This window comes from Homo sapiens, chromosome 1, assembly GCF_000001405.40.
Source record: "Homo sapiens chromosome 1, GRCh38.p14 Primary Assembly".
NCBI lineage: Eukaryota > Metazoa > Chordata > Mammalia > Primates > Hominidae > Homo > Homo sapiens.
Genome location: NC_000001.11, coordinates 119064552 through 119083487, shown reverse-complemented (window position 1 = coordinate 119083487; position 18936 = coordinate 119064552). Strand labels below are relative to the sequence as shown.

General features: G+C 37.1%; 1 protein-coding gene across 13 annotated transcripts in view; it reads left to right on the top strand.

Annotated features, from left to right (window-relative positions):
- The window catches only part of WARS2 (tryptophanyl tRNA synthetase 2, mitochondrial), a 109457-nt gene that overhangs the window by 57185 nt on the left and 33336 nt on the right, over positions 1-18936 (top strand). For 9 of the 13 annotated variants that reach the window (XM_017000038.2, NM_201263.2, NM_001378231.1 and 6 more), the window contains one exon: positions 6881-7138. The exons of 1 other annotated variant lie outside the window; for it this stretch is intronic. In XM_017000038.2, the coding sequence (XP_016855527.1) occupies positions 6881-7138 (258 nt within the window). Of the gene's footprint in view, positions 1-940; positions 1149-6880; positions 7139-18936 lie in introns of those variants that run through there. 3 more of the 13 variants (XM_047429105.1, NM_001378228.1, XM_005270350.4) reach the window with 2 other exon arrangements.

The following is an 18936-nucleotide window of genomic DNA, read 5'->3' as shown; positions in this document are numbered from 1 at the left end:
TGCTATAACAAAATACTACAGACTGGGTAATTTATGAAGAACAGATACTTATTTCTTACAGTTCTGGAGGCTAGGAAGTTCAAGAGCGAGGCACCAGCCTTGGTGTGTGGTGAGGGCCGCTCTCTGTTTTCAAGATGGTGCCTTGTTGCTGCATCCTCCAGCAAGGAGGAATGCTGTGTCCTTACATGGTAGAGGGGGTGGAAGGACAAAACAGTGTATACTTTCTCTAAATCTTTCCTTTCTTTTCTTTTCTTTTTTGGAGATGGAGTAGCGCTCTGTCACCCAGGCTGGAGTGCAATGGCGCTATCTCATCTCACTGCAACCTCTGCCTCCCGGGTTCAAGTGATTCTCCTGCCTCAGCCTCCCAAGTAGCTGGGATTACAGACATCCACCACTGCGCCTGGCTAATTTTTGTATTTTTAGTAGAGACGGGGTTTCACCGTTTTGGCCAGGTTGGTCTCAAACTCCTGACCTCAAGTGATCCACCTGCCTTGGCCTCCCAAAGTGCTGGGATTGCAGGTGTGAGCCACCACACCCAGCCTGAAGCCTCTTTTATAAGGGCATTAATCCATCCATGAGACAGAACCCTCATGACTTAATCACTTTCTAAAAGGCCCTGCCTTTTAATACTACCACAGTGGGGATTTTCAATTTGAATTTTGAGGGGGTCACACCTTCAAAACATGGCACCTGGGGAAGAACATTATGTGGTGTGGTGGCCAGAGCACTGGAGTTCTGAATTGTGGCTCCAGCTGTGCCACTAGTTGTATGCCCTTGGCCTTTTCATTAACATCTCCATGGTACACTTTCCCCTTCTGAGAAGTGTGTTGGGGAGAGGGGTTGGGTGGGAGTGGGATGCTTGAAGCCAAGAAGTTCTAAATTGCATTCAGTTCAGTGTGATGGAAGGAATATAGAATTTGGAGTCCAGTGGCAAGAGCTCAGATCCAGATCTGACTCACCTGCCTGTGACTTTATGCAGGTTATTTAACTTAGCAGTGTCCTTCCCTAGAAAATGATGCCTATGATTCCTACCTTCACTACATGAGATGAAGTACATGAAAGGGCCAGGGCATGTTTCTGATAGCTAAATTTCATCACAAGAAGGAAAATACATGTGCAAAAGCATTCCATCACATGATAGAAGGATGGTAGGTACAGCACGTGTAAGGAAAATAGATGTGTAACTCTTGAAATTTGAAAATGGCCTAAATAAGCCTGTGGGGGAATATTTTTAAGAATTAAGTTGATTCCTTTTAAACTCTTTTACTGAACTAACAATACATATTAAGTGCTTATCATTTATGCCCTTAAGGAGCTCACAGTCTAATTGGTTAGTCACTCCTTTTTCTTTCTTTTTAAAAATATTTTTCCTTCAGTTTTAATTGTTGGCCTCCATATTTTTTCTTATTTGGAGGTGATGTAGGACCTTCTTTCTCTTATACTGAATTAATATTTACTCTATTGATTCCTAGGTCTGAGCATCTGGTTTTATTTCTAAGCAGATGCTTAGAAATGATGAACCCATTTTTCTTGGTGCTGAGTGAGCATTTCTTAACAGACCTGGACTCTCCAGTGCTTTCCGGAGGAAAGAGCTGACTGTAGCAGAACAATGCTGAGGCATGGCCAAACCTTCAGAGGAGCACCAGTGTCACGCCGGGTCTTCTCTGTTTCAGCTCTTCAATCCTTAATTGCCAATAGAGGCATTTTCAAGAAAATGTTGAAGATAATTTCAGGAATGTAGGATTGAAATAGTAGGGCAATGTAGATGATAGAATTGAGAAACACTAACAGAGCTAAGGAGTGACAGCTTTAAACAATATTTTAAAATTTATATACAATGAGAAGAATAAATAGACTTATAGAAAGAGATTTTCATCCCAATTACCTGGTAATGTTATTGAATACTTTTTTATTACAATCTGTGATAAAATGCCATTTATGTAACCAATAAGACATAGTGTGGCCATTGAGCCAAGTTTGTGGTTTACCTTTGACTGTAGTTAAAACAAGTGTGATGAATGAACAATTGCTGTTACAGCTGGATACAAGCAGGACTTTGTAAGAAGAGTCTTGAAATCTTTAGTTGAAGTCTGTTTCTCACCACTGTACTGAAGCTGAAAGTGTTTCAAAGCTAGTAGGCAGCCTTCTTTTGATGGATCTTATTCACTTGAAATTAAAGACAGAAGCTCTCCTAATCACAAAAATTCTTTTGCCATAATTAATAACTTGGGAATTTTCAATTGCTTTTGAGTACAGTAAGAAAATTAAGGAAATTACACATTTTGGATGTGCTCAGTACCTTACAACAGGAATAGTTTCAGCTATGTCTGTCAAAATGATAAGTATGCTCTACCTTTGATTTGAATACCCACCCTCTCTTCTAGTATATGTCAAATCCTAGAGCTGAAGCTCCCCAGGGATTTGGTACTGCTGGTTCTGTTATAAAAATGAGCCAATAAATGTATAGGCTGGAAGTGGCATTTACCAGGGAAATATGCCTGAAATGAAATGAAGACCTACTTTCTAACATGCTTCTTTTTTAATCCTCTGCATACTGTGATGGAATTGTAGGTTGATGCTCCAGGCTTCCCCTTGAATGAATGCCTGTGGGCTAGGCTAGAAGCTGTTTTCTTTGTGGTTTGTCTCTTGTCCAAACCCATGGGAAGCCCAAGCTCCTTTCGTTTTCATTCTTTTCTAACTCTAGTGCTTTTGAACACAGAACCCCCATCCTCCCACCACCCAAACTCCACATTCCAACCCCATGATTTCATGGTACCTGGCATGTCTCCCCTGCCATGCCGTCAGGCCGCCTGCTGACTCCTGCAGAGGGAACAGACGGGAACATAAACTCACTGCAGAAGAGCAGGATGCTCTCTGTATATTTTTAAGACCAGGTATCCAGTTCCCATTTAGAGGCTGTATTTTTTTAACAGCGCCTTGAAAATTGAACAAAACACTTCTCGTTGGTCTCATTGCTTGATAATATCATTCCCTCTGCACTAATGTATAGAATCCCAGGAACTAGAGAATGGAAAAGATGTATTAGATCATTTCTAGCCCATTCCCACTGGTCACAATACTTTTTTCCCACAGTCTCTTCTCTGGTGCTTTTCTCTTCTAGTTTTCTCAAGAATTTGTTTTCTCCATTTCTCCTGGGGAATAATTTCTGAGTTTGAAGATGGAGGAATATATGTGAAAATATTCCTATTATTTTCAACTTAAAATTCCTGGTCTTTATAACCCTTTACATTACCATAAACAGTCCCTTATCTTCCTAGGTCAAGTATTTCAGGATGGTATTTTTTTCCTTTCCATTTATTAACTTCAGAGTTTGTTTTTCTGCTTTGCTTTCTCTCTTCATCAATCAGTCCCTAAAGCCCATTAATCATTTCTTACTGCACTGAAAATTCCTTTGCTTATTCCCATATCAGGAATCCAGAGCTGGTTAGGGTTCCTAGGTCCTGGAGGAAGCCTCGCTAATAGGTACTCATTCTATGCTAACTTCTCTCTCTCTCTCAATTCTCAAGTAGGAATTATTTTAAAAATATTGTTTCTAGATTATGATTTGGGGATTTCATCACTTGAAAGCCTTTTATGTGTGTGTTTGTGATTTTGAGTGTAAGATTATATTTGTTCTCAATTACCTGAAAGATATTTTTCATATCCTCAGAGCCACAGATCATTTGGGTTTCCTCCTCAGTTCCTGGATCAAGCACAATTCTGGACCATGGAACTATGATGTAGCATTCTATTTTAGGGCTATCATCTTAGGAGTTGAGAGGAAAATAGACTATATTTGTAGGATTTGGAATACTTGGGGAAAAGGAAGTGCCAAATTTAAGTAACCTTGGCACTCACATATCAAAAGTAGATTAGCTCTCAGGAGCTAGCATTAGGTATAAAAAAGACTTAACATGGCTTGTGGCTTCCTGGATTGGAGGACTCAATATTATAAAGATGTCAGTTCTCCCCGAAACAATCTATAGATGCAGTGTGATCTCAGTCAGCAACCCCAACCAGCAATTGCAGCTTCTAATCTGATCTAAAAAGAAGCAGCAAAAAATGAACAGGGTTTTTTTTTCTCTTGAGACTTGACAAGATGATTCTAAAATATATTGATACGTATAAAGGGCCAAGGATGGATAAAGTACTCTTGAAGAAAAAGAAGGTTGAAAGCCTCACTTTAGCAGGTTCCAAGACATATTTTTAAAAATCAATGTTATACTGACACAGTGACAGACAGATAGACTAATGAGTCAGAATTGAAAGACCAGACCCTTACCAGATTCTTCATAGAGGGATCCTTGATTTATGATGGCGATGGAATTTCAAAGCAGTGGGAAGAGACAGTCTTTTCAATAAATGGTGCTAGAATAATCAGATATTCATATAGGAAAAAAAGAAGAAATTAGATGCTTACCTCACACCATATGCAAAAAAACTCCAGATGGATACAGACCTAAATGTGAAGAGTAAAGATAAAACTTCAAAGTGCACACACACACACATTTTGTATATGCATATGTGTGTGTGTGTGTGTCTAGCTATATGTATGTATCCATATATGCACACACACACACACACACACACGTGCACCTTCATAACTGCAGGGTATTGAAAGATTTCTTCTATGATACAATAATCTGTTATCAGAAGTTATATATCTGATTCATAAAATTAAGTACTTATCTTTGTCAAAAGATAATATAAATAGAAGACAGCCATACAATAAGACAATATATGCCCTACATGTAATTGACAAAATATTAGCATCTAGAATATGTACAGATTCTGAAATCAATACAAGACAATCCAATCTGAGAAAAACAGGCAAAATAATTTAAATAGGCTCTTCATAGAATAGGAGGTAAAAATAGGTAGTAATCATAAAAAGAGTTCCCAACTTCTTTAATAATCAAAGAGAGTTAAACCATAATGAGATTCTACCTCATTTCCATCAGATTAGCTAAAAATAAAAAGACTGCTAATACCAAGTGTTGATGAGGATATGGAACAACAGGAACTTGGTAGAAAGTGTATAATGTTACATACTTAGGAATAGTTCACTATATTGAAGTACTACAATTGAAGATACGTATACATACCTTATGACTCGGCAATTCTACTCCTAGATATATACACTAGAGAAACTTGGCTCATAATACATTAAGATACCTGTATAATAATGGTCTTTTTTGTCCCTGTAATTTTTTATTTTGCAAATTTTTAAACTGACTGAAAAGTTGCAAAATTAATACAATGAATATAATAAAGTCTTAATAGATGGTAGCTAAGCAAAGCATAGTAGCTAGTAGAGAGAGCATACATGGGCTTTGAAGTCAGTGATATCTGGCCTGAAACCTCAACTCCACCACTTACTAGCTGTGTGACCATGGGCAATCTAGTTAAATCTGTGAGCCTCACGTCTCTCATCTATAAACTGGAGGTAATAATATGCCTACCATATTAGGTATTAAAATGATTAAATGCATTAATATATGTAAAGCACTGGGCATAAATGCTTGCAACATAGTTGTTCAGTAAATTATTGCTGCTATTGTTTTGCTGTGGTGGTGGTTAAAAATGATAATGATGCATTATATTTTCTCAGGGCCTTTTAGTTACAGTATATTTATTGATACATACTCATTTTTGGTTTTTCACTATGGAATGTATTATAAAATAATTCAGGGGAAAAATAGCAATTTTTTTTACTTTGTATTGCATTTTTTTTCTTTTCATTTTCCTATTATGACTTCAGTATTAGAAAGTACAAACCAAAGGGAAAATATGACCAGAGTAAAAATGCTTTTTATAATTTAAATAATTATGTAGAATTAAAATTTCCTTTTGAAGAATTGAAAACCCAAATATGATTTTATTAAAAGTAAAAGGAAACCAAGGCATAGAAAATGTAAATAACCTTATTAAGAAGTAATATTAGAAATAGAGTGTATGTTTTCTAATTTCTAGCCCAAGATCTCATACACCAAATTATAATATCAACAATATAAAAAAATCTTAAGGCAATAGTAGTAGCCTTTAGCACTAATGCTAAGGCCTTCATTTCCTTAACTGCAAAATAAATTAAATGACATGAAAAACCCTTGAGGCCCCTTTAATCTCCAGTGAAATTTCATTCTATGTCTGAAGGCTTCCTCGTTGACCACCAAACCTCAGTTATCTTTTCCTCTTGGGAATTCCTCTCTGAACCCTATTCTGTATCATTCCAAACTGGTCATGATCATGTTACCATGTTATACCTTTACTTATCTTTTCATAAACAATACCCTCTATCTCCAATTAGATCACATGCTCTTGGGGATGCAGATCTTTTCCTTTTTTTTTTTGAGACGGGGTCTCGCTCTGTTGCCTAGGCTAGAGTGCAGTGGTGCAATCTTGGCTCACTGCAGCCTCCACCTCCCAGGTTCAAGCAATTCTCCCACCTCAGCCTCCGGAGTAGCTGGCATTAAAGGTGTACCACCACGCCCAGGTGATTTTTGTATTTTTAGTAGAGACGGGGTTTCACCATGTTGGCCAGGCTGGTCCCAAACTCCTGATCTCAGGTGATCCACCCTCTTCAGCCTCCCAAAGTGTCGGGATTACAGGCACGAGCCACCACGCCCGGCTGCAGATCTTTTCTTATATGTCTTTGCATTTGTCCATGTTTGAGTGCAAAAACATTTTTAATATCATTTTTTTGTGCCTAGTAGCACCTAGCATAGTGATTTACAGTGTAGGCACAAAATAAATGGATGATGATGACTGTCAGATTGTAGTTTACAAAAATATAACTAGCTCCCATAGCTATGATAACATGGGCATAGGATTCATGGGATTCTGCCTCAAAAGCAAATATGCTTGTTTTCCTTTGTTCCAGAAAGACAGCAAGAAGCGAGTATTTTCCGGCATTCAACCTACAGGAATCCTCCACCTGGGCAATTACCTGGGAGCCATTGAGAGCTGGGTGAGGTTACAGGATGAATATGACTCTGTATTATACAGCATTGTTGACCTCCACTCCATTACTGTCCCCCAAGACCCAGCTGTCCTTCGGCAGAGCATCCTGGACATGACTGCTGTTCTTCTTGCCTGTGGCATAAACCCGGAAAAAAGCATCCTTTTCCAACAATCTCAGGTCAGCTTCTCAGATTAGAACTGAGAAAACTCTTATGTGTAGATTATTTGAGGAAAAAATGTTGAATGGTTCATACAGCCCCTGCTCGTGATTTTTAAAAAGTGTTTGAAGGTGACTTTTTCAAATGTGATTTTTTTCAGCTTAATGTTTTACTTGTATTTATATCATTAAGTATCATTATATTGCAAGAGTATTTTTCAGCTTTTCCTCCACTGTATTCGGTAAGTTTATGATGCTTCATATACCAAGAATTGTGTTTCATTAGTACTTCTAGCCCTGGAATTGTTTTGCTATGCTGGGTTGCTTTCAAACTGATTACTTTGTGTTGTTGACTAATCTCCTTGTGATCAAGGATAGAAGTTAGTGACCAATAGTTTTATGTAATTCCAATGTTGCTTTATTAGATGTTCTATTTAGAAGGTCTGTTGGATGATTCCCATTGTTCATTCTTTTTATAATAGTTTTTGAGAAGATTTGATAGCACAAGTTGGGAAATTGGAAGACAAAGTCCCAGTGTGTTGTGTCTAAGCCAAGAAAGGCTTCATAGTAAAGCCAAAATATTTGACTCATATCTTCACTATGGATGAATCAGTTTATTCTTGGACAGGCCGATAGTCTGGCCTAGAGACAAGGCAATCAAGATACACCCTAGAAAAAGATGAAAATTCTAACTAGATCATGCCTTCATTATGTATCTGCTTTAACCTTAGGACAAAGCCCAGCCAAGGAATGGTATGTTATACATGCTATGGTACATGTTAACATGCATGTATATATGCAACCTTCCTTGATTGTACATTTCTATCATTATTTTTATATATGTTTTGTTATACATAAAACTTAATGTAATGATTCTTACAGAGCAGACAGTTAAAAAATATGTGATAAACGAAAAGAGTATAATGATCCCTTGGCATCCAAAGAGTGTTGGCTCCAGGACCACCAAAGCTACCAAAATCTGCAGATGCTCAAGTTCCTTATATAAAATGGAATCATATTTGCATATAACCTACACATACTCTCTCGTATACTTTAAACCATCTCTACATTACTTATAATAACCTAATACAATATAAATGCTATGCAAATAGTTGTTATACTGTATTGTTTTTTAATTTGTATTATTTTTCTATCGTGGTATTGTTATTTTTTGATGCCTAAATACACACTGATTTCATATATATGTATATATATACACTAATTTTTTAAATTTTTAGAGATTAGGAAGGTGTATGTGCAGTTTTGTCACATGGATATGTTGTGTAGTGGTGAAGTCTGAGCTTTTAGTGTACCTGTCACCCAAATAGTGAACATTGTACTCAATAGGTGATTTTTCAACCAACATCCTCTTCCTGGCTTTTGGAGTCTCTAGTGTCTGCCATTTCTCTCTATATGTCCATGTGTACCTATTGTTTAGTTCCCACTTATAAGTGAGAACATGCAATATTTGATTTTCTGTTTCTGAATGATTTCACTTAGGGTAATGGCCTGTATTTCATGTTGGCCTCCATGTTGCTGCAAAAGACATGATTTCATTCCTTGTTATGACTGTGTAGTATTCCATAGTGTATATATAGTGGCGGTGTTATTTTTATTAGTTGTTTTTTCCTAATATTTTCAATCTGCTGTTTGGTTGAGTCCATGGATGCAGAACACACAAATTCAGAGGGCCAACTGTATGTTTAAAAAATAAATGCAGTTATCAACTTTGTTGCCAGCTTGTAGATAATTTGATAAAATAATAGAATCTGATCTTTAAAAGGACCATAAAGTCAATTTACCTCAACTTCATTCCTTATAGTTGGTCAGGAAGGCTTTGCTTACACATGACTTTTCAAATTCAGCGTTGGACAGATCCAGTTACTATAAAATACTTGCTTTTACTGACCAAATATCTACCTCCATATAGTTTCCATTCATTCATTTAATTTCTGCTCTGTAAAAAACAATAAATCAACTCTGTTTCCACACAACTGCTCTTCAAATACTTGGAAAGACATTTATTATGTACCATTTGTATCTTACCCCGTAGGTCCTTACTGTATAGGTCTTGCCTTCTACAAACTAGCTGTCCCTGGGTCTCTCGCCTTCTTGGTCATCCTATCTCAAAAGCACTCTCACCTTCTTTCTGAAAAGAATGTGCCTGGAGCTTCACATCCATTGCCAATGTTGGAGAGCTGTTCATCATTAGAGCCACTTTTTGAGTCACCTAATGCATTTTGCAAAGCACATCATCTTCACTTCATCTAAGCTGTTTTTAATACAAGCTGGCTTTTGATCCTTAGCTGATACTATTTCTAAAAATTGTATTCCCAGCCACGAGTACCTATTTCCATACTTCTTGTAGATGAATGTCTAATCTCCACAAAGTAACCACTTGCCAGATTGCTTTTTAAAGTGATCTTTAATATTAAAGGCTTATTTACAACTACATCCTATACTTGCACTTTGAGCTCAATCTCTCAGGAATGATTACCATAGTATAATTTTTTTTCACTTTGTAAAGGATTTTTAGCAGTGATCTTCATAAGCATCTAAAATTTGCAATAATTGAGATATGTTCTTCCATGTGGAACTTTGTTGTTCAAAATAGCAATTGAAGAAGTAACCCACAATATGGGAGACTTTGTAAAGACTTCCCCATTAAGGAGGGACAAAATTCACCTTCTCTTAAAATGGAACCTAATGAGCTCATTGGGTCTAGGTCAGAGAGTGGAAGGGACAGACTTGACTGGTATGTGCCCGTCTTCTCCTCATAGCCTTAATGCAGTTGTAAAGCTGTTTTATAATTCACCTCCTGCCATCCCTCACTTCAGCTCCATTGTGGAGAATTTTGATAGTTTGCCAGCAAAATTTAAGGGAGGTACTCATCTTGCCTACATTATACAATTTGTCTCACAAAGGCAATATGAAAAATTTCCTCAGGTGTCTTTGTAACCTAAGATAAACTTGGTCTTAGCCATTTCGTCCTTTGGCTCAGGCAACCAACCTTACTACAACTCTATGGATGGATGGATGGATGGGATATTTTATCAGGCTTTCTTTCCCCCTTTTTAAAAAATGTAATTTTATTTAAAAATATTTAAAAAAATTTATAACAATAGAGAGAGTAGTATACTATACCCCATCACTTGTTAACATTTCATTATTTGTCTCACTGATGTTACTTTCTTTTCTTTTTTTTTTTTTCTTTTTTGAACTAGAGATATGGTCTTGCTCTGTTGCCCAGGCTGGAGTGCAGTAGTGTGATCATAGCTCACTGCAACTTCGAATTCCTGGGCTCAGGATCCTCCTACCTTAGCCACCTGAGTAATAGCTAGGACTACAGGTGTATTCTACCACACCTGGCTTTTTTTTTGGAGAGATGGGGTCTCACAACGTTGTCCAGGCTGGTATCAAATTCCTGAGCTCAAGTGATTCTCCCAACTTGGCCTTCCAAAGTGTTGGGATTATAGGAATGAGCCACTGTGCCTGGTTGATGTTATTTTCTTTGTTGAAGTATTTCAAAGCAGATACCACACATCATGGCATTCCAATCCCTAAATATTTTAGCATGCCACTATAAATTCAGGAAATTTTCTTACATAACCATAATACTGTAATGACGCCTAACAATGACAATTCCATATTATCATCTAATACCCAAATTACCCTGACTCTCCCAAAAATGACTTTTATAGTAGGCTTGTTTGAGTGAAGATCTACCAAGGTTCACATATTACATTTGATTATGGATCTTAAGTCTCTTTTTTTTATGCCTTTTGATTTGTTCATCAAATTTTAATTTATTTCCTGTAAAGTTAGTCCTGGGCTTAAAAAGAATTAAAACTTTGATTTTTTATGCTTCTACTTTTTTTCACACCTTTGATGTATTGATCAAGTTTTCTGTTTGCTATAAAGTTAATTATTTTGAACTTAAAAATAAACCTTAGTTTTTTAGTTGCTTTCTCTTTACACTAATCTGTGTTAACTGATGGTTAGTGACTATAAACTGCTGTCCCACATAGTTGCTCATCACCATTTTCATTAATTTGAGTAGAAGCTGTGCTTACCTACTGCCCGTGGATTGCCTGGAAATGAACATTAGACATCAGCTTCTTTAGAATGGCCATAATGCTTCAGTTTGTTCATGGGTGATGATGGAAAGGTCCTCCTCATGCCTTATCTTAGAGCCATGAAGGCATGTATTGGCTTTTGCTTCTTAGAACCATTTTCAAGTAGAAGTATAAGTGAATAAACTAGTCTTCTGGAAACAGTTATTATCTTAGCCACATGACCCCATTATATACAGAGTTCTAGTAGGTGAAAGATCATCATGGTGATGACTTATGTTTTGTAATACAAAAATCAAGAAAAAAAGTCTTTTTTTCTTTTTCTTCTTTTTAACAGGCAATGCTAGGAAGAATTCTTTTTTCTTTATTTTAAATTGACAAATAAAAATTGCATATATTTATGGTGTACAACATGATGCTTTGAAATATGTATACATTGTAAAATGGCTAAATCAAGCTATATAACATATATATTACCTCACATACTTAGCTATCTTTAAGTGATTTTCAGGTATACAATACATTATTATTAACTATGGTCACCATATTGTACCATAGATCTCTTGAACTTATTCCTCTCGTCTAACTTTTTTTGTGTCCTTTGACCAACATCTTCCCATTTCCTCTTGCCCCATTCTACTGTGCTTCTATGAGCTCGATTTTTTAGATTTCACATGTACGTGAGCTTATGCTGTATTTGTCTTTCTGTGCCTGGCTTATTTCACTTAACAAAATGTCCTCTGGGTTCATCCATGTTGTCATAACTGACAGGATTTCCTTTTTCAAGGCTGAATAGTATTCCATTGTGTGTATATACTGTATTTTCTTTATCTGTTCATCTGTTGATAGACACTTAGGTTGATTCCATATTTTGGCTATTATGAATAGTGCTGCAATAAACATGAGAGTACAGATGTGTCTTTGACATACTGATTTTCTTTCCTTTGTATATATACCCATTAGAGGGATTGCTGGCTTACATGATAGTCCTGTTTTTAATTTTTTTGAGGAACCACCATACTGTTTTCCATAATGGCTGTACTAACTTACTTTCTCACCAACAGTGTGCATGGGTTCCCTTTTCTCCACATCTTTGCCAACACATATTATCTTGTTTTTGTTTTTTTAGACGGAATCTCGCTTTGTCAGTGCAGTGGCACAATCTTGGTTCACTGCAACCTCTGCCTCCCGGGTTCAAACAATTCTCCTGCCTCAGCCTCCCAAGTAGTTGGGATTACAGGCGCCTGCCACCAAGCTTGGCCAATTTTTGTATTTTTAGTAGAGACAGGGTTTCACCATGTTGGCCAGGCTGGTCTCGAACTCCTGACCTCAAATGATCTGTCCACCTTAGCCTCCCAAAGCGCTGGGATTACAGGCATGAGCCACCACACCTGGCTTGTTATCTTTTTAATAATAGTCATTTTAACAAGTGTGAGGTGATCAATCTGTATAGTCTTCAGTAGTGGGGGAGCTGAAAAGAAAATAATCATATCATTTTCAGATTTATAAAAAAATGCTTATTAGGAAACTATTTTATTTATTTATTTATTTATTTATGACAGGGTCTCACTCTGTCACCCAGGTTGGAGTGCAGTGGTGGAGTGATAGCTCACTGCAGCCCCAAACTCCTGGGCTCAAGCAGTCCTCTTGTCACAGCCTCCCAAAGTGCTGGGAGTACAGGTGTGAGCCACCTGTGCCTGGCCAGAAAACTATTTTTAAATGTGTAAGGCTGGCTGGACATGGTGGCTCACACCTGTAATACCAGCACTTTGGGAGGCTGAGGCAGGTAGATCCCTTGAGCTCAGGAGCTCCAGATCAGCCTGGGTAACAAGGTGAAACCCTGTCTCTACAAAAAAATTAAAAAATTAGCCAGGCGTGGTGTCGCACGCCTGTGGTCCCAGCTACTTGGGAGGGAGGCTGAGGCAGGAGAATCGGGTGAACCCAGGAGGCAGAGGTGGAAGTGAGCAGAGACCACGCCCCTGCACTCCAGCCTGGGTGACAGAGTGACACCTTATCTCAAAAAAGAAAAACACAATGTGTTAGGTTTACCAAGCTATTTCATGTATATGACTTCTCTCTTAATCATCAAAACAGCCACAGGAATTAAATATTACTGTTATCTTTCACTAATGAATAAATTAAGGTATGAAGAGATTAAGTAAATTGAAAATGTACTTAAAATTATCTTTGAGCAGTACCTGGTACTTAGTAAATACTCAGCATATAGAACTTTTTCATTAGCTGCCTAAGGTCACCCAGTTTGTAGGTGGCAAAGCCAGGGCTTTTACGGTTTTCCCCTAAAGCACCACTTACGGAAGATGTACTCATGAGGCGGGAACCTTGTTCTGTCCCCTGCCTACATACCCTTCTCCAGCCCTCACGTCTCTGCTTCTGGAGATGCTTGTGGAGGGGAAGTGGGGAGTTGGGGCTGACCTCAAGGCCCTCATTATTTCTCACCTGAACAATTAAATTACTCTTTCACTCCTGCCCTAGCCTCACAGTTTGGCAGTTCATTCCCCACAAGGCAGCCACAGTCACCTTTCTACTAAAAACACATCAGCGTCTCTCTCCTGCCCTCATGTAAAAATCTAAACTCAGCTTAGCTAGAAATCCCTTAAAAAATGAAGCCCAAGAGTACACTAGGCCAGTGTTTCTTCTACTACACCACTCAGTTATGCAGACCTTTTATTATCAGTTTGTGTTTGGATGATCTGATTACCTTCTACCAATGACTCTTTAAAGCTGAAGAAAAAATAATTTCTTCTGGTTTAATTTTGAGAAGATTTGATAAATCAGTCCTTAACTTACAAAACAGATAAATTAGAGATTATTTATCTACATTTTTAAAAGGCTTTTTGCTATTTCCTTTATACTGGTAGGTTTATAGTGTATTTAAGCATTTAATTGATCATTAAATATGTAACAGAAAGGATAAGAATTTAGAAAACAATTTTATTTAATGTTTTGGGAGCCAATTCCAGTTAACATTAGTTATACCCACCTCCCCATCACACAATTATTTACAAGTAAAATTAAGAATTTTTGAAATTATGAGTTAGAGAAAAATATTATTTTATAATGTGATTTTTTCAGCTATATTCGTTGTGTTAAGCAAATTACTTACAGCTAAATTATAAAGGCTATTTTTCTGTGTGCTATTGTTGAACATTAGAAAATGTTCTAATGATGGCTTGAAATAGGGAAAGGATTTAGCTATGTTACAATGTTGACTTTTACCAGTAATTTTCATCTCCAATCCTTTGCATTCTTTCTCAGCAGTCTGACTGGAACAATTCAGACTTACTGAAGATTTTTCTCATTATTTTCTTTTTCTTTCTCTCCCACTGGCCTCTAGTCATGTGCTTCCCCTAAAATATGTTCACCATATGTGGGGAATTTTATAGACCCTCTCCTCTCAAAGGTGTGTGTGTGTGTGTGTGTGTATGTGTGTGTGTGTGAGAGAGAGAGAGAGTAAGAGAGAGAGGGACACGTCGTGGGAAGGGGGTCATGCCTATGTGTGTATTTAGCAGAGGTTTCCATCCCCACACCATAGTTAATGGTCTTTTATTTCTAGCAAGCCAGCAGGCCTGAGTGCAGATCCAGTCTGAGTCGTACAGCTGCCTGGGGTACAGGCCTCTACATCTTTCACTGTTACTCTGCAGATGGAAGATAAAAAGTGGAGGACATAGCTCTAGGCACTGGATTTCTGCCAAGGCAAGGAGAAAAGGACAGTTGGGGCCACCAGATATTGTGTTACGAGGGTCCAAAGAGACCAAGGAAAAGTTGAGGGAGGAAAGGGGGATTTGCATCTCTGGAATGTGGGCTCATTCTCTAATTAGAGTTATGTTGTTTCCCAGGAAACAAAAATCAGTAATGATGAAGAGAGGCAATGGAGGAATTGGTTTCTGAATGACAGCCAAAGTAACTGACTACATAAATCTTGGCTTACTATACATAAATAAAAGTTATACCTCACCAACTGTCCCTTGTCTCAGAGGTATAAAACCAAGGCCTTAAACTGGACAGAGAGTCTAGTGCTTCCATTATTCTGGTAATTTAGGAAACATATTTGAGTGTATTTATATTTGTTAAACTCTCAAAGTTGTTCGCTACCAACAATAGGTGCTCTTTCAGCTCACAATGGAAAGGGAGCAAACGTCTGCGTAGATTAGTGGACTTGGAGAATATATTTGTAAAATTGGCATCACCTCCAAAGTTCCTAGGAGGAGATAAGAATCTAAATGGCCCATGGCATAAATAATAAGTTTGGAAAATTATTATATCATCAAACTCTGCATGTATTTCCTTCTCCACAGTTTCCAATAATACCACTTCCTTGCCTGGATCTATGCTCCTGTGTGACATGATGAACAAGCTGCAGTACTTGTGTTACTTCTATCCTGGACATAGGAACAGGTGATAGGTTAATTATACCTTCAAGAAGAATTCTTTTCTTGCTGTCAAAACAGTAGTGAAAAAAAAAAAATAGAGGCTTTGAAGCCAGACATACTCAGCTTGAATCTTACTGTCACTTCTTTTTGGTTGTGAGACTATGGGCAAGTGGCTCAAGCTCTCTGAATCCCATTTTTAATGTCTTTAATAGCAATTTAAATAAGATAATATATTTTGTCTAGCAAATGTTAACTTTCTATCACCCTCCTCCACTATATACAATGCTCCCACCCTAGGCTCCTTGATATTGAGAAGGATTTATATAAGGGTAGAGTGGGATTAGAAGATGGAGATAAAGTTAATGACAATGCCTCTTTTTATCTTCAATAATAAAGTATTTTCAGAAGAGTTTGTTGTCTAAGGTTTTTTGAGGACTTTTTAAGAAATATTTGAAACATTCATAAAAGGATGAAGATGAATGGCTGCCTTTTGAATTGCTTGCCTTTTGGCATACTTGCTTCATGTGATTTTTGTTTTTTACATATTAAACATTACAAGTATAATAGAAACTTTTCTGCTTAGTTGTAACGCCATTTTCCTCTGTGCCTTCCCAGAGGTAACCACTATTATATTGATTTGATACTCATCATTCCTACAAATGTGTTTATATTTGTATTGCATATAATATAGCCATTAACAATCTATATTATTTGTTTTGCATGTTTTAAAACTGTGAATGGCATCATGCTGCCCATATTCTCTTGCATCTATTTTTTGTGTACAATGTTACATGCTTGGGATTTATTTAGTTTGACTGCTAAATACAGTCAAACTAACTAAATGGAAACTGCTAGTACAGTGTTCCATTGTCTGCCTCCTTAACAGTTTATCCATTTTCCTGGCAAAGGATATTTGGATTTTTTTCCAGCTTTTTATTACTGCAAACAATATTACAGAGGGCATACTTTTGTCTGCCTTTTGTGCACATGTGAAAGACTTTCTTTAGCTGTATTAATATATGCCTAAGAGTACATTCAGGAGGATATATGATATATACATCATTGGCCTCAGTGAATGTTGTCAGTTTGTTCTCCAAAATGGTATTCTAACTTACATTACCACCAACAGGAACTCTCCTCGGCAACATTTGGTGTTATTAGACATATTACTTTTGGCACTGTAATGCATGAAATGTGCCATCTTATTGTTTGAATTTCCCTGACTACTGGTAAGATTAAGCATTTATTTCTTATGTTTTAACTCCTTTGTTTTCTTTTGTGAATTGTTTGCTCATATCTTTTGACTATTTTTTAATTGTATTTTCCTATTGATTTGTAGAGGTTCTTTACATATTCTGAGTACCAATCCTTTGTTATACATTATCATTTTTCAGTTTGTAGCTTGTCTTTTTTTTTTTTTTTTTTTTTTGAGACAGAGCCTCTCTCTGTCACCCATGCTGGAGTGCAATGGCATGATCTCAGCTCACTGCAAGCTCTGCCTCCCAGGTTCACGCCATTCTCCTGCCTCGGCCTCCCGAGTAGCTGGGACTACAGGCGCCCACCACCACACCCGGCTAATTTTTTGTATTTTTAGTAAAGACGGGGTTTCACCGTATTAGCCAGGATGGTTCTCGATCTCCTGACCTTGTGATCCGCCCACCTTAGCCTCCCAAAGTGCTGGGATTACAGGCGTGAGCCACCGCACCCAGCCTTGTAGCTTGTCTTTTAATTTTTAAATGCTGTCTGTTGTTGTACAGAGTTTTGTTTTTTGTTTTTTTTTAATATAGCCAATTCAGTATTTTCCTTTATGGTTGTATGCTTCTGGAGTATGTTTTTAAGTTATTCTATACTGGCCTAGTGTGATAAAGCTGTTCTTTTATATTATCTCTTGAATGTGGTAAGTTTTGCTTTTCACATTTAAGACTGAGTTATGTAGATCTTACAAATTCTGTCACATTTTATTTACAGTATTTTTAAAAATCACATTGGTTAATACCACAGCTCTCATCAGGAATGTCTCGACATATTGGAAGCTGTCTAACGCATAATGATGGATATATGTTTTCTAAAATTCTAATTTATTCTAGAAAGCTGAAATGTTTATAACCAATACCATCTGTGGGTTGTTTTCCTTGAAATGCCTTTGTTCCTTTGTTTCCTCTTGATAAATTTTGTTAGAGACTACTCTATTAATCATTTAGAGGATATACTTTTGATTTTGTGAGGCTGTTATTGTATCTTTTTTATTTATTTCCTTTTTTTTTTTTTTTTTGAGACAGAGTCTCACTCTGTCACCCAGGCTGGAGTGCAGTGGCATGATCTTGGCTCACTGCAACCTCTGCCTTCTGGATTCAAGCTATTCTCATGCCTCAGCCTCCCAGATAGCTGGGATTACTGGCGCCCACCACCATGCCAGCTAATTTTTGTATTCTTATCTAGTAGAGACGGGGTTTCGTCATGTTGGCCAGGCTAGTCTCAAACTCCTGACCTCAAGTGATCTGCCTGCCTCCTTTGTTTTTTATTTCATTAGTTTCATTCCCTCCTCCATTTTATTTTCTTGGAAATTATGTGGTTGTGCTTTTACTAACTTCTTGAGTGGACCTCATTAATTTTCAGCCATTCTTCTTTCTAATATAAACATTTAAGCAGTATAAATTTCCTTCTAAGTTCTGTTTTGTCAGCATTGACAAAGTTGTGATATGTTATAGTATTTTCACTATAAATCAGTTCTGAATAATTTCTAATTTTCACTATTATTTCTTATTTGATCTATCATTTATTTAGAAGTATGTGTTTAGATTTCCAAGTACAGGGCTCTTTTTTTAACTTAACTTTTTTAAAAAATTGATTTCTAATGTCATTACATATTAATCAAAGAATATAGCAATGCTTTCAGATCTTTTGTATTTTTAAAGCTTGAATTTAGCAAATGGCGAATTTTTACAAATGTTCTATTTGTGCTTGAAAATACTTTCTATTTTCTGATTCAGTGAATTTCAAATTTTTTATTGTTTATGACTATCAGTAAAAGATTTTTGAGACTTTCCTTTAAGATAGGTATATACTGTACATCATTGTATTAGTCTGTTTTCATGCTGCTGTTAAAGATATACCCGAGACTGGGAAGAAAAAGAGTTTTAATTGGACTTAGAGTTTTACATGGGGAGGCCTCAGAATCACGGCGGGAGGTTAAAGGCACTTCTTACACACCAGCGGCAAGAGAAAAATGAGGAAGAAGCAAAAGTGGAAACCCCTGATAAACCTATCAGATCTGGTGAGACTTATTCACTATCAATAGCATGGGAAAGACCGGCCCCCATGATTCAATTACCTCCCACTGGGTCCCTCCCACAAC